At 44.0% G+C, this 14,849-nt stretch overlaps 3 long non-coding RNA genes across 4 annotated transcripts in view, besides 1 other annotated feature; 2 read left to right on the top strand and 1 right to left on the bottom strand.

Annotated features, from left to right (window-relative positions):
* The window catches only part of LOC107986133 (uncharacterized), a 38,839-nt gene that overhangs the window by 9,043 nt on the left and 14,947 nt on the right, over window positions 1-14,849 (bottom strand). The window contains exon 2 of the long non-coding RNA XR_001740907.2: window positions 17-200. This is a non-coding gene — a long non-coding RNA (uncharacterized LOC107986133). The remainder of the gene's footprint in view (window positions 1-16; window positions 201-14,849) is intronic.
* Window positions 4-63: an enhancer, noted in NCBI's record as "active region_20522". NCBI's record gives its function as "activates an Ori minimal core promoter by ATAC-STARR-seq in GM12878 lymphoblastoid cells {active_cell/tissue: GM12878}" and the evidence as "EXISTENCE:reporter gene assay evidence [ECO:0000049][PMID:35858748]".
* On the top strand, window positions 4,000-13,280 carry LOC124906285 (uncharacterized). 2 transcript variants are annotated; one of them, XR_007096082.1, is made up of 3 exons: window positions 4,000-5,460; window positions 7,213-7,384; window positions 13,063-13,280. It is a non-coding gene; the product is annotated as an uncharacterized LOC124906285 (long non-coding RNA). The 2 variants fall into 2 exon arrangements; XR_007096081.1 differs by having other exon boundaries at window positions 4,000-4,081.
* On the top strand, window positions 9,084-10,467 carry LOC124906287 (uncharacterized). Its single transcript, XR_007096084.1, has 2 exons — window positions 9,084-9,206; window positions 10,307-10,467. It is a non-coding gene; the product is annotated as an uncharacterized LOC124906287 (long non-coding RNA).

The following is a 14,849-nucleotide window of genomic DNA, read 5'->3' on the forward strand; positions in this document are numbered from 1 at the left end:
AGGGTGCATTTCCCACCTGCTGAAGCTTCTCAATTCCCAGCATCCAATCCAGATAAGACTCTTGTTCTCAGTGTCCTTGATGGAAATGGCAATGAACTTTTTGCAGATTGGACCATCTCGGGAATCCCAAAGATCGGAAACTATTTTCTTTCTCAGAACCTTCCACACAGCATTGAGCCTTAGGAATTTCTAAGAAGGATCTGGAATGAAAAAAAATCTTTTGAAAAGGTATCTGTATAGCTTCAGTTTAGCAAGATTCATGGTGGGTATTAACACCACTAAGTGCTGGTGTTAAGCCAAACCATGTTTTTCAAAGACTCATCTGGCCTCAAGGTTGGCGGGATCAGAGTGGCCTCCCAGGATCTATCACATCCTCAGAAGAGTTGGTTCAACTGGCATGTACCCAGATCTCTTTGAGCTAGTATGATGCTCCCTTGAGTCAAAGGCTGCCACATCACATCTCCTTTAAGTCCCCCTAAGTACGACCCCAGAAGTATTGACAAAATAGTGCTATTCCTGAAGATTTCAGGAGGACATAAATGAAGAGACTAAACTGCAAGGTACCAAAACTTCCATCTTTGCTAAAGACCCTCATCCAGGCTGGGCACGGTGACTCACGCCTGTAATCCCAGCAATTTGGGGGGCCAAGGCGGGCAGTTCACCTGAGGTCGGGAGTTCAAGACCAGCCTGACCAACATGGAGAAAGCCCATCTCTACAAAAAATACACAATTAGCCGGGCATGGTGGCACATGCCTGTAATCCCAGCTACTAGGGAGGCTGAGGCAGGAGAATCGCTTGAACCTGGGAGTAGGTTGCGGTGAGCTGAGATCGTGCTATTGCATTCCAGCCTGGGCAACAAGAGTAAAACTCCATCTGAAAAACAAACAAAAAGTCCTTATCCAATGGTCATGCCACTCTATCTGGCCATGTAATTTCTCCTCCTGTCTTTCTGTAGCAACAGCCTTCTGAGGAACCTCACTCTGCCGTTCAAAACCCCTTCAACTTGTACCCTTCATCAGCAAAGTATTTAGCTCAACATGTATGCCTCTGGGGGAACTCATCCACATGCCATGTAAGGATATTTCCAGCAACATCATCTTCACTATCCCAGGACAGCATTTTAGAGTGGATTTCGTGCCTGCTGGATGTGTTGTACTTGAGCGAGTTAGAGAAAATGCCACACTTTGAGATGAATTAAGAGTCTGTTTATTTAGCCGGCGGCCAGGAAATGGCTAACGTTTAAAGTTCTCTCGGCCTCAAAGAAGGGGCTAGATTTTCTCTTATACTTTGGTTTAGAAAGGGGAGGGGGGTCTAGTTAAAACAATTGTACAGAAGTAGGCAAAAAAGTTAAAAGGATAAATTGTTACAGGAAAGTAAACAGTTCTAGGTCTAGGGGCTTTAAGACTATTACAAGGTGATAGACGCGGGGCTTTGGGCGTTATCAATTGGAGGAATTCCTGGGAACTGCGGATACTGCTCGCCACAGTATCTTATCAGTTAATTGCATTCTTAGATGTGCTGGGAGTCAGCTTGCACTAGTTAAGTCCTTGAGGAAGGGGCTGCCAGTGAAAGAGCCAAGATGGAGTCTGTCTGGCTCTCTTAGCTAAGGGAGAGTCAATTCAGGTGGAAATAAGGCTAGGTGATTAAAAGAAAGGGAGAGTCTAAGAACAGGGTTAGTAAAAACAAGGTTGGGCATTACATTCCTCACTCGTGTTTTTGGGGAATCAAATTGTTGATTCTTCAGTTATAACAAGGGGGTTATATTGAGTCTTAAGATACATAAGTTTGACAGAAGCTACGTGTTGTTTTACAAAATTAATAAACTAATTTAATATACAAGGTCCAAAAATTAGACTTAATAGTAGGATGGGGAGGGGGTCTGGCTAACTTAGTAATTAGAATAGTTAGCTCTGGGTTCTAGTTGAACATGCTTTGATACTAGGGGATGTTATTTTCTTGTTCTTGTTGGCTCTTATCTAGATTTTCTTGCCCTTTCTGGAGTGTATCTTTTATGACTAAGAATGGTGGAGGAACAGTTAAATCAACTTTGTCAGGGTGTTTCTGGAACATAGGGTTACTTAGATCAGTTAAAGGCCTGATTGGCTTGGGTGGGCTTTATGAGACTAGGGTTTTTTTGGATGGTGAACATAGTCTTAACATTAAATCCTGGGATATAAAATCTTAATCTTCATGACATGCCATGATACTATTGAGTTGAATTAAGGTCATGGACAGCTATAGTAAGAGGATTACAATTTTTCTAGTACATAATTTAGGATGAGAAGCACGACTTGTGGAAAGAGTTGAAGATCTGGTTGATCTTTTAGAGTAGGTGGCTAAAGTTACATATGTCTAATCAGGGCAGGAAAACTGATAAGTATCTTGACAGCTAACATCAGGGTGATTTCTAGGACAGAGGTAAAAGCCAATATTTTGGAGTCTTTTTTCTGCACTTTTGGAGCTCCCACACTTAGTTTGGCTCTTGGAGTGTCTGAATCTTGCTGCAAGGTCGACACTTCCTGCTCCTGGGACCGACAGATTGTGTTGCTTTTCGTGGGTATGGGCTGGCTTTGGGAATAGTACAAATAAATCAACTGCAAAGGAGACTTCCTTGGAGGTACTGGCCTTCTAAGTGGTGTTTGCAAATACATGTCCTGTTGTGAAAGAGGTGAGGAGAAAGGAGTAGGAAGGCACAGAGGATGTTACGGGCAAAAACAAATAAGTGAGGTAGTAAAAAGAATGAATCTAATGGCTTCACCTGACTTAGGTGCAGTTTTAAGGGCCTGACTTAGGCCTGGGGACTTATGTTTTTAGCTGGGCTCTGTTGGCCTTTTTGATGCGGGAGTGATGAATCTAAGCAGGAAGGCTGTCTACTTTCAGAGCCATTGGCGTCATGAGGATGACGGTGTGAGGTCTTTTCTAAGCAGGAGCGAGTCTTTCTTTTTGGAACTTTTAAACAAACACTAGGTCTCCTGGCTGGAACGAATGGCAGGACTTTGGTCAGGAATTGGATTGGGATGGGCTCCTCGAACAAGTGGCAGGATGATATCTTGTACCTGTTGGAGAGACTATAGGTACTGCAACAAATTAGTTTGCGATATTTCTGCTAATTTGGCATTTCTTAGCTTAGGCAAGATAGGCGGTGCCTTCTTATACATGATTTCAAAAGGTGAGAAATTTGCCGGGTAAGGGTGCACCTTACTTTAAGTAGGGCTAAAGGAAGGAGACTTACTTAATTTACACTATTTTTTTAAGATTAATTTTGTAGGAGTGTTTTTTAGGGTGTAGTTCATGCTTCCTACTTGCCTGAAGCTTTGGGGTTGATAGGCACAATGGAGCTTCTGTTGAATGTTTAATGCCTTACTGACTGACTGAGCTATAGGCGAGGTGAAGGCTGCTCTATTATCAGACTTTATGGCAGCAGACAGCCTATATTGAGGGATGATTTCATTGAGTAAAAACTTAACTACTGTGTTGGTGGTTTCGTTTTTGGTAGAAAATGCCTTAGTCTATCTGGAGAAGGTGTCTACTAGTACTAGAAGGTATTTGTACTTAGTCTGGTGTGGTTTTACTTCTGTAAAGTCAATTTCTTTTTTCTTGGTGAGTTTTTTCAGAGACAGTGGCCTGGGCTGGGTTTAGGACTTTGTTTGGCATTTATGTGGGCGCAGGTTGTGCACTGGAGAGCTGCTTAATCTGTTAGGCTTTGAAGATGGGGGATCTTAAAATGGCTCCGGAGGAGCTGAGGTAGCTTTGCTCTTCTTAAATGGGTGGTAGACTGTAGGTAACTGATTAAAGTTTCTTTAAGAGTTCAGGGTATGAAGATTCCAGAGTCAGGAAGAATCTACTAACTTTCCTGATTTTTATTGGCTCTGAGATCTGAAGCCAGTTTTTTTGTTGTTGAGTATACGGGATTGTCAGGCAGATCTGGCTGTGGAAAGGAGACTGTGGGCAGCAAGTTTAGAGGCGTGACTGAAAGTCTCGCTGCGACCTGAGCTGCTGAATCAGCTTTCTGTTTACTGTGGGCAATGGCTGTGTTTTCTTTTTGATGTCCTTTGCAGTGGATCACAGCTACCTGCTGAGGTGAGTAGCTTGCTTTCCTGGTAGATGGCTTTACGTACATGCACAGTAGCAAAGGTGTACTTGCTGTCACTGTAAATGTTAATACGTTTTTTCTACTTTATTGGAGAGCCTGAGTGAGGGCGATCAATTCAGCCTTTTGTGCGGAGGTGTTCGCTGGTAAAGCTTGAGCTTACAACACATCTGTCTCCGTGGTAACAGCTGCACTGGCTTTTCATACTTCCTGCTTGAGGAAGCTGCTACTGTCTGTGAACACGGAGGCATCTGCCTCTTCTAGGGGCACATCTTGAAGATCAGAGCAGCCAGTTTTGATAGTTTCTAACAGTTCTTGACAGTCATGAGCAGGAATAGTGCAGTCTGAGTCAGGAAGTAGTGTAGCTGGATTGAAACACTTTGAGGGAGAGAAAGTCAAACGAGGCTGATCTAACAGTAAACTTTGATACTGCAAGATGCGAGCATTTGACATCTATTTGCCAGAAGCATTTTGTAGTAAGGTCTTTATGGCATGAAGAGCTGTAAGGGTTAAATTTTGGCTTAGAGTTAACTTATCATCTTCTTGGGCCAGGCTTGCTATAGCCGCTAAGGCTCGCAGACAACTTGGCCATCTACAGGCCACAGGATCTAGCCTCTTAGATAGACCACTGGGCATCTTTAGGGTATTAGAGTCTGAGTAAGGCACGTCTTTAGCAACTCTTTGGCTTTTATGGAGACATTGGGGAGGGCTAAAGCAGGGGCTTCAGTTAATGCTAAATTAACGGGATATTTCATTCTGTACTTCTTGGATAGCTGCCACTAAGATTTTTGTTTGTCTTTTGAATGCTTTATCAGCAGCCTTTTCAGCTGCCTGTGTTGCTTGTTTTTGTTTTTTAAACTTTTGATGGTCAAAAACTTTTTGGGCTATTTCTGAAAGCTGACTGATATTTATTCTAGCAAAGCTTTCTAGTTTTTGGAGTTTCTTTTTAATATCCGGGGCTGCCTGAGCCACAAATGCTAAATTAAGAGCACGGCTATTTTCGGGAGCTGCCGGGTCAAAAGGGGTGTAAGTCTGATAAGCCTCCTGGAGGCGCTCTAAAAACGTTCTTGGTGACTTATCGGGCCTTTGGACAACTTCGGTCGTCTTAGACAAGTTTATGGGTTTCTGAGCGGCTCTTTTAATACTTGCGAGGAGATACCGGTGAAAATCGTCTAAAGCTCCCTTTCTACTTGAGGAATTTGGGTCCCAGTTAGGCTGGGTAGAGGGAAAGACCTCCTCAAGGAGGTCTCTAGCTTCTCCTTCCGGTCCACTGGCTGATGTGAGGAAGTACTTTTTGGCTTCTTTTCAGATACGTTCTTTCTTTTCAGAGGTGAAAAGGGTTAAAAGGAGCTGTTGGCAATCATCTTAGGTGGGTGAGTGAGTCCGGAGTACAGACTCTGTCAGAGAGGTCAAAGCCTGGGGCTTTTCAGAGAAGGGAGGATTATAAGTTTTCTAATTATATAAGTCAGAAGCAGAAAAAGGGACACAAACTAAGAAGGGTGCTGAGCGCTCGTCACCTGGAGGGACTTGTTCCTCTCTCAGTGGTAGTAGAGGGGCTACTTCTTCCTGCCTGCCACGGTCATGATTGAGAGGCAATGGGTGGCGAGCCTACAGGGGACGTCGTCGAGGAGACATGGGATAACTTTAAGGGAGCAGGCTGGTTGTAAGGCGGTGGGACTGGGTGAGGGAGACTCCCCCCTTCTTCAGAGGGAGGCAGTACAGGGGAAGCTGAACCGGCTGAGGGTGGAGGCGAAAACGCGGTCTGGCTTAGGAGGACCTTGGAGGTAGAATTATGAATGGCGCATGAATGGAGCCATGGAGGGGGGATCCTGACTAATCTTAGCTATTGATCAATGTAGGGAAACTGATCAGGGTGGCTAGGAGTTTCAGTAACAACCTGCCACACAGCTTGAACAATTGTGAGGTTCAATGACCCTTCAGGGGGCCACTTGACTTTAAACTTTGGCCATTTTATTTTGCACAGTGTCTGGAGCTTGCCTTTTTTAAGGCGGACTTTATAATCCTCTGAGGAACTGAGAGGAAAATTCTGCAGCATACATTGGAGAGGGCTTTAACTTTATAAGGCTGGGAGGAAGTGTTTCTTATTTTTTTTTTGAAGGCAATTTAATAAGATTTGAGCATAGACTTAGCATGGACAGAGAAACTTATTTCTTGGGGGACTAGAGTAGTGAAAGAACAGAAGCAACATGACTAGAAAGAGCAGAAAAACTACAACAGCTAATACTACTTGCTACATTACTGTAGCTTTAAGATTGAGGGAGGAGGACTAGAGCCAGCCTGAGATCTTCTGGGTCAGTTTGATCTAGGCGTTCTTCTTCTTCTTCTTCTAGATCTGCACTTTAAGTACTTTTGGTGTCTTTATGACTTAAAGGCAAATAGCTTAAACTTAGCTTTTTCTTTTAAGGGTTTAAGGAGTGAGAGCAGAGCCAAGTCCTAGAGACGCTGAACTTGCTGTCGCACCAGAAAACGAGATGTGCGGGGTAGGGGACAGGGACGAGGTGGAAAAGGACTACTCGGATCATTTTTAAGGTGGGAGAGTAGCCACAGAGGAACAGAGTAAGAATCTAAACAAAGTAAAGCAGTACGGGTGTACGTTTCTTTACACAGTGTTCTACTTAAGGACACAGGAAAAGTTACAGAATGATAAAAGAGGTGAGCAAGGAAATCTGCAGGGTGGCTGTTTTGAACTCACTACTGGTTTAGTTTAGAGGAGGTCTAATCACTTGGACGTGGAGTATGACGATCTAAATACTTAGAACTTTCATGGTGCTAGAAATCTTAATCAGGAAAATGTTTTTCACACTTGTTCTTGTAACAACACTTGACTTGGTTCTGGCAGAAAAGACAGGACTGTGGTGGCCAGCCTAAATGATTGATGAGAAATTTAACCTCCTGTGACAAAAAATCAGCACTAAGGACTTTGAAGAAGTTTTTACTTAGACGTCTTGGGCAATATCACCGTCCTGACATGCAAAACTTTCACAACTACTAACAAGACAATAGAAACTGAACAGAACAATCAACATAAGGCAAACAATTGACTTTACAGCATGTAAACAGTTATGACAGTTTCTTCCTTTTTTTTTTTTTTTTTTTTTAGACAGACAAGGGGAGTGGTTCCTGTGATGGGATCAGTCAGATGCCTGCCTGGCCGCTCCCCCTGAGGGGACTTGGGCTCCTCTTAGCATTGGCAGGCCGGTATAAACTTCCGGCTCAGATCGAGCTATGCCTGATGCTGCCTTAAGCCTTATGAGGTCGCCAAGGAACCGCAGGTGAGGGTCTACTTGAACTCCGTAGCTTTCGCCGTGGAGCTACAAACTGGAGGACAAGCGCAAGCCCTTGTCCTCCCTCATTCATTCATTATTCACAAAGAGTTTATAACAGTTTTTTTTTCTTTCTTGGAGATTCTTCAAGAAACTGGAACAAGAGAAAGATGAGAGATAGAAAAAGAGAGAGAGAGAGAGAGAGTGATCGGTCTGCCAGAAACCAGGACTCAGTCCTCCAGCATCCTGGGATGTGGACTGAGTCAAGAGAGGGCCCCTGTCAGGGCCACTTCCCTCCTAGAAAGAGACACAGAGGTGCCTAACAGAAAAACAGGGCTCTACCTTCTAGCGTCCTAGAGAAACGGGCAGAGTCAAAAGAGGGATGCCCTCATCAGGGCCGCTTCCCTCTTACTAGAACTGAAATCAAATCTGACCTACCTGACCTCGGGGTCAGAAGTTGAGGACTCAGAGGTGGAATTTTTGTGGGCATCCACACGGTAGTCGATCCGCTCTCCTCTGGAAGACGGTCACCTTTTGGGGACCTGAAAATTATTTTTCAGGTGGCACCCCCCCTACAAGCCGGCTGTCCTTCCGGGGGAGCCCGGAGCGAGCCCGGCTCTCGCCTGGTGGCGTTTCTCGCTCGGGCCTCCAAATGTTGTACTTGAGCGAGTTAGAGAAAATGCCACACTTTGACATGAATTAAGTCTGTTTATTTAGCTGGCAGCCAAGAGATGGCTAACTTAAAGTTCTCTTGGCCCCGAAGAAGGGGCTAGATTTTCTTTTATACTTCAGTTTAGAAAGGGGAAAGGGGTCTAGTTAAAAGAATTTTACAGAAGTAAAGTCGGCAAAAAAGTTAAAAGGATAAATTGTTACAGGAAAGTAAACAGTTCTAGGTCAAGGGCTTTAAGACTATTACAAAGTGATAGACGTGGGGCTTTAGGCATTATCAATCGGACAAATTCCTAGGAACTGCGGATATTGCTCGCCACAGTATCTTATCAGTTAATTGCACTCTTAGAGGTGCTAAGAGTCAGCTTGCACAAGTTAAGTCCTTGAGGAAGGGGCTGCCAGTGAAAAAGCCAAGATAAAGTCTGTCTAGCTCTCTTAGCTAAAAGAAAGTCAATTCAGGTAGAAACAAGGCTAAGTGATTAAAAGAAAAGGAAAGTCTAAGAACAAAGTTAATAAAAACAAGGTTAGGCATTACAGATGGGGTTATCCTTATATTCAGCACAGTGTTTGTTCTGAAACTTCGATGGAGTGCTCCTAGTTTGATAACTTGGACCATGCCAAATAAATTGAATTTATCTTTCTTAACAACAGATGTTTGAATACAGCCTCGTGTCCCTCTCTGCTCCTTCCTGCCTTCCTCCTCTCCTCTTCCTTCCCTTCCTTTTCAAAAGCAGGGTTTGCAAGCTTTTACTTCAAAGCATCAGATAGTAAATATTTTAGAATTCGTGGGCCATACAGTCTCTTGTAGCAGTTAATCAACTCTGCCACCCATAGCATGAAAGCAGCTGATATAGGTTGAATATGTGTCCCCGCCCAAATCTCATGTTGCAATGTAATCCCCAGTGTTAGAGGTGGGGCCTGGTGGGAAGAGATTGGATCATGGGGGTGGATTTCTCATGAATGATTTACCATCATCCCTTTGGTCCTGTCCTTGCAATAGTGAGTGAGTTCTTGCAAGATCTGGTTGTTTACGAGTGTGTAGCACCTCCCTCCTTACTCTCTTGCTCCCACTTCACCTTCTGCCATCATTGTAAGTTTCCTGAGGCCTCCACAGAAGCTCAGCAGATGTCAGTGTCATGCTCCCTGTACAGCCTACAAAACTGTGAGCCAATTAAAACTCTTTTCTTTATACATTACCCAGTCTCAGGTATTTCTTTATAGCATGAGAGAACAACCTAATCCAGCAGCCATAGACAATATGTAGCAAATGGTCATGGCTGTGTTTCAATAAAACTTTATTGACAAAAACATGTGCAGGCAGGTCAGATTTGGACCATGGGCCATAGTGTCCCAACCTCTGCTCTGGAATATTCTCTTTAGCCTGGATGGACATCTCTAGGTTGGTTTTTTTTTTTTTTTTTTTTTTGAGACAAAGTCTCACTGTTGCTCAGGCTGGAGTGCAGTGGTGCAATCTTTGCTCACCACAACCTCTGCCTCCTGGGTTCAAGCAATTCTCCTGCCTCAGCCTCCCAAGTAGCTGGGATTACAGGCACCTGCCACCACACCTGGCTAATTTTTCTATTTTTTAATAGAAATAGGCTTTCACCATGTTGGCCAGGCTGGTCTCAAACTCCTGACATCAGGTGATCCACCCACCTTAGCCTCCCAAAATGCTGGGATTACAGGTGCCCGCCACCACATCTGGCTAATTTTTTTGTATTTTTAGTAGAGATGTGATTTCACTATGTTGCCCAGGCTGGTCTCGAACTCCTGATCTCAAGTGATCCACCTGCCTCAGCCTCCAAAGTTCTGGGATTACAGGTGTGAGCCACTGCAGCTGGCCTCTAGATTTTTTTTTTTTTTTTTGACCATTGATTATTTGGTTTGACTTTCATTTTCTTCCCCATTGTGGTAGTCATTTTCTGAATGCCTGTTTGTTTGTCCATCTCTTTCCTCTGTAGTCCCTAGAGTCAGATGAACTCCTCTGCAGGTGCAATGGTGTAACACAGTCTAGTGCTGAATTTTGAGCAGGAGAAAGAGAGCAAGAGTGACCAGTACCCTTGGAAACTCTGGCCTCCTGAGAATTTGGTGTCTTCTCTGCAAAGGTTGCAAACCTGTTAACCCACAGGCCGGAGAGAGAGACAAGCCAGAATCATGATCTGTTAAGCTTGAGTTTAATATTTGATGCACAGAGATCACTGAGTTTTTTGATAAGAATTAGAGGGGGAAGAAATGGCCACAGAGATCACTTTCTATCTCCAGGTGAGGATTCAGGAGATAATTCTGCGAACAGAAATTCCTGAGAACTGAGATGGGGGAAATCGCTGGTATTAGAAGGGTGAAAAGGTCAGTAATTAAGGCTACGACTGTGCTCTTAGAGGCAAAAGAAGAAAATGAGACTGCCAGGCATGAATAATGAGAAATCTTTGATGGAATTAGCCATGCAGAACAGATACTAAATGCATCCTCATTCTTCTCATAGTCAAAAGTTTTTGCTTAAGCTGGATGGGAAAAAGAGAATCCCATTTCACTAAGTATAAAAGAGGGGATTTTAGAGAAGGTCTCAGAAGAAAGAGATGTGGCGGTTTGGTGAAACTCACCAGAGGCTGAACCCTCTCCAGCATAACACAGGGATTGGGAGGAGCGGGGAAGCATTAGGCCAGGTGCATAGCCCAGTGCTGCTCTCTCTGGACTTTCTGCTCTCTCTGGACTTGTTTGCTAGCTGAGCTCATCCATTTGCATAATTTTCAGTGCCATTTCTCAGCTGATGAGTCCTGAACTTTTGTCTTGAGGCTAGACTTCTCCTTCAAACAGCAGTCTTAAACACTCAACTTCTTTCTTGTTTTTTCCACTTGTCAACTCATGAACAACTCAACCTTGTTAAATCCAAAGCCAAACTCATGGCTTGGAGTGGTAGGTGATGGCTGTAATCCCAGTGCTATGGGAGGCTGAGGTGGGAGGATTACTTGACGTCAGGAGTTTGAAGCCAGCCTGGAAAACACAGTGAGACTCCCTATCTCCAAAAAAAAAAAAAAAAAAAAAAAGGCTAGGCATGGTAAAGTGCATCTGTAGGATCTGTAGTCCTGTTACATGGCAGGCTGAGGCAGGAGGATCACTTGAGCCCAGGAGTTTGAGGCTGCAAAGAGCTATGATTGCACCAATGCACTCCAGCCTGGGTGACAGAGCCAGAGTCCCTGTCTTAAAAAAAAAAACAAAAGCAAAACTCTTTTTCCTCCTCCTTCTCCATGGGCTCTGTCCATGCCATCTCTGTTCTGTAAATGGCACCATCCCCTGCTGAGCTGCTCAAGGTGGTCATAACTCATGTGTTGTGGTAACTCTGCTTTTGCCCTCTTCTCCAGTCAGAAGTCCTGTGATTCTAAACTTTATCCAACTTGTCCACTCTCTCTATCTTAACTGTCATTATCTTTGCCTAGGACACTGCTATCCCAGCTGGGCTACAGCAGCAGCCTCCTAACTGGTCTTAACTGGTCCTCTGCACCTGCTCTCCATGCTCAGCAATCCATTTCCTACCTAGCAGCTTCAGTGATCTTAAGGTGTCCATTGAGTCTCATCCCTGCCTTTCCTGCCCATGGCACATAGAGTCTTCTGCCTGTTCCTGCCACCTCTCCAGCTCTCTCCTATCTCCTCCCCTTGGCCTACTCTATTTCAGCCACTCTGGCCTCCTTTTGTTTTCTTCGATTTTCAAACCTCTCTCCACGACAGGGCCTTTGCACTTGCTGCTTCAGCCTGGAATGATTTTCCTCTGCACCTCCCCAAATTAGACCATCCTTTAGGTCTCAGCTAAAATGATGCTTCCAGACAGCTCTTTCCTGACCCCTTTATAAAGTGGACTTCCCTGCTCTTCTCCACCTTAACCTCATTATTTCTTGTTGCGGGAACTCAGGGACCCCAAATGGAGGGACTGGCTGAAGCCATGGCAGAGGAACATAAATTGTGAAGATTTCGTGGATATTTATCAGTTCCCAAATAATACTTTTATACTTTCTTATGCCTGTCTTTATTTTAATCTCTTAATCCTGTTATATTCATAAGCTGAGGATGTACATCACCTCAGGACCACTGTGATAATTGTGTTAACTGTACAAATTGATTGTAAAACGTGTGTTTCAACAATATGAAATCAGTGCACCTTGAAAAAGAAGAGAATAACAGCAATTTTTAGGGAACAAGGGAAGACAACCATAAGGTCTAACTTCCTGCAGGGTTGGGCAAAAAGAGCCATATGTTTCTTCTTGCATGGAGTCTATAAATGGACGTGCAAGTAGGACAGACATTGCTAAATTCTTTTCCTAGCAAGGAATATTAATATTAATACCCTGGGAAAGGAATGCATTCCTGGGGGGAGGTCTATCAATGGCTGCTCTGGGAATGTCTGTCTTATGCAGTTGAGATAAGGACTGAGATACGCCCTGGTCTCCTGCAGTACCCAAAGGCTTACTAGGGTGGGGAAAAACTCTGCCCTGGTAAATTTGTGGTCAGACTGGTTCTCTGCTCTCAAACCCTGTTTTCTGTTGTTTAAGATGTTTATTAAGACAATACATGCACCACTGAACATAGACCCTTATTGGTGGTTCTGCATTTGCCCTTTGCTTTGTGATCTTTGCTGGACCTTTATCAGTAGTTCTGCTTTTGCCCTTTGTCCTGTTCCCTCAGAAGCATGTGATCTTTCTTAGACCCTTAGTAGTAGTTCTGCTTTTTGCCCTTTGAAGCATATGATCTTTGTACCTACTCCCTGTTCTTACAGCCCCTCCCATTTTGAAACCCTTAATAAAAACTTGCTGGTCTGAGACTCAGCAGGCATCACGGACTTACTGATATGTAGTGTCACCCTCAGCGGCCCAGCTGTAAAATTCCTCTCTTTGTAGTGTCTCTCTTTATTTCTCAGCTGGCTGACACTTAAGGAAAATAGAAAGAACCTATGTTGAAATATTGGGGGCAGGTTCCATCAATAGTTCTTTCATGGATTTACTTATTTTTTGTCTCCCTCCATACCCTAGAAACTCCTGGAGGGCAGAGCTGTGTCTGCCATCTTCATCATTGCATTACCACCACCCAGCACAGTGCCTGGCACAAAAGAGTTGCTCAATAAATAAATCCGGATGAATGGATAAATACATGGATAGGCACTTTGAACTACAGATGAGTTTAAATACTTTGTGTTTTTCTTAGTCAAACATGTGCAATTAAGCATGTGATAAATGATATGATGACCACACCTGTGTCTTGCCTGATGTTCTTTGCAATCACTAAATGAAGTCAATTGTGCCTGTTTTGACAGTTCTGTTTTCAACCTAATGATCTGTTTCTTTTAACTTCTGGCTGTTGGCTTTCTTTGGGTTTGTTAGCCTGACAAAGTGGCAGATATTGGTATTTGCTCTTTTGTTTAAATGTCATGAACTTTAAAAATGCCTTTGCTTTTGGTAAGAAACCCTAGTTAGGACAGTCTAGCGGTCAGGATGATTTGGGTTCTGGTGCAGTAACAACAATCCCCAAATCTCAGTGGATCCATGCAGTGAGGTATTTGTTTGTTTGTTTGTTTGTTTTTTGAGACAGGGTCTCACTCTGTCACCCAGACTAGAGTGCAATGGTGCAACCTCAGCTCACTGCAACCTCTGCCTCCCAGACTCAAGCGATTCTCCTGCCTCCTGAGTAGCTGGGATTACAGGCCTGTGCCACTACTGTCTCGCTAATTTTTGTACTTTAGTAGAGACAGGATATCACCATGTTAGCCAGGCTGATCTTGAACTCCTGACCTCAAATGATCCACCCGCCTTGGCCTCCCAAAGTGCTGGGATGACAGGCATGAGCCACCATGCCTGGCCACAGTGAGGCTTATTCTTGGTCACGTTGCATGTCTGGGCTGTGTTAGGGCATTGTGGAGTGTTCTGTTCATTGTGTTCACTCAGGGATCCAGGCTGACAAAAGCCCCATCTCTGCATGTGTCCTTGATCTCCACTTCAGGGGAAAGGGAATGTGGTGGATCACACAGCCTCTTAACACTTCCACCTGGAGGTGACTCAAGTTGCTCTTGCTCATGGTTCATTGGACAAAACAGATCACAGAGACATGGACAACTTCTCTGTGCCTGGAAGGGGAATCAAAATATGAATAGCTACATTGATTTTCCCTAGCTATTACACAGAAGGCCTCATTTAAACACAGTTACTTATTTGTGTTTTGAAGCTAATTGTTGTCCATCAAACTTCACAGAAGATATGTGCACTTCCAAGTTATTATTAAGCACAATTTTTTTTTTTTTTTTTTTTGAGACAGAGTCTCACTCTCTTGCCCAGGCTGGAGTGCAGTGGCATGATCATGGATCACTGCAACTTATGCCTCCTGGATTCAAGTGATTTTCATGCCTCAGCCTCCCAAAGTGCTGTGACTACAGACACCCACCACTGTGCCTGGCTAAGTTTTGTATTTTTAATAGAGATGGGGTTTCACCATGTTGGCCTGGCTGGTCTGGAACTCCTGACCTCAGGTGACCCACCTGCCTTGGCCTCCCAAAGTGCTGAGATGACAGGCGTGAGCTGCCACGCCCATCCTTGAGTATGATTTTTGATTGGGAAGATCAGGGTTAGGGTTTTAGTCTGAGGACAGTATGATGTGAAGGTGAAAAGCAGAGCTTGGCTGTGAGTTTGCTGGGATGCCTGTGCTGCTTCTACAGTTCTTTGGCTGTGTGACCGTCACCTTTGGCAAGTTCCTTTATGTTTATATGTGTTGGTTTCCTCATCAATAAAATGGAAAAACTAATAATCGTAATATCTATTGGTTTTGGGAT

The sequence above is a fragment of the Homo sapiens genome, chromosome 3, assembly GCF_000001405.40.
Source record: "Homo sapiens chromosome 3, GRCh38.p14 Primary Assembly".
Lineage (NCBI taxonomy): Eukaryota > Metazoa > Chordata > Mammalia > Primates > Hominidae > Homo > Homo sapiens.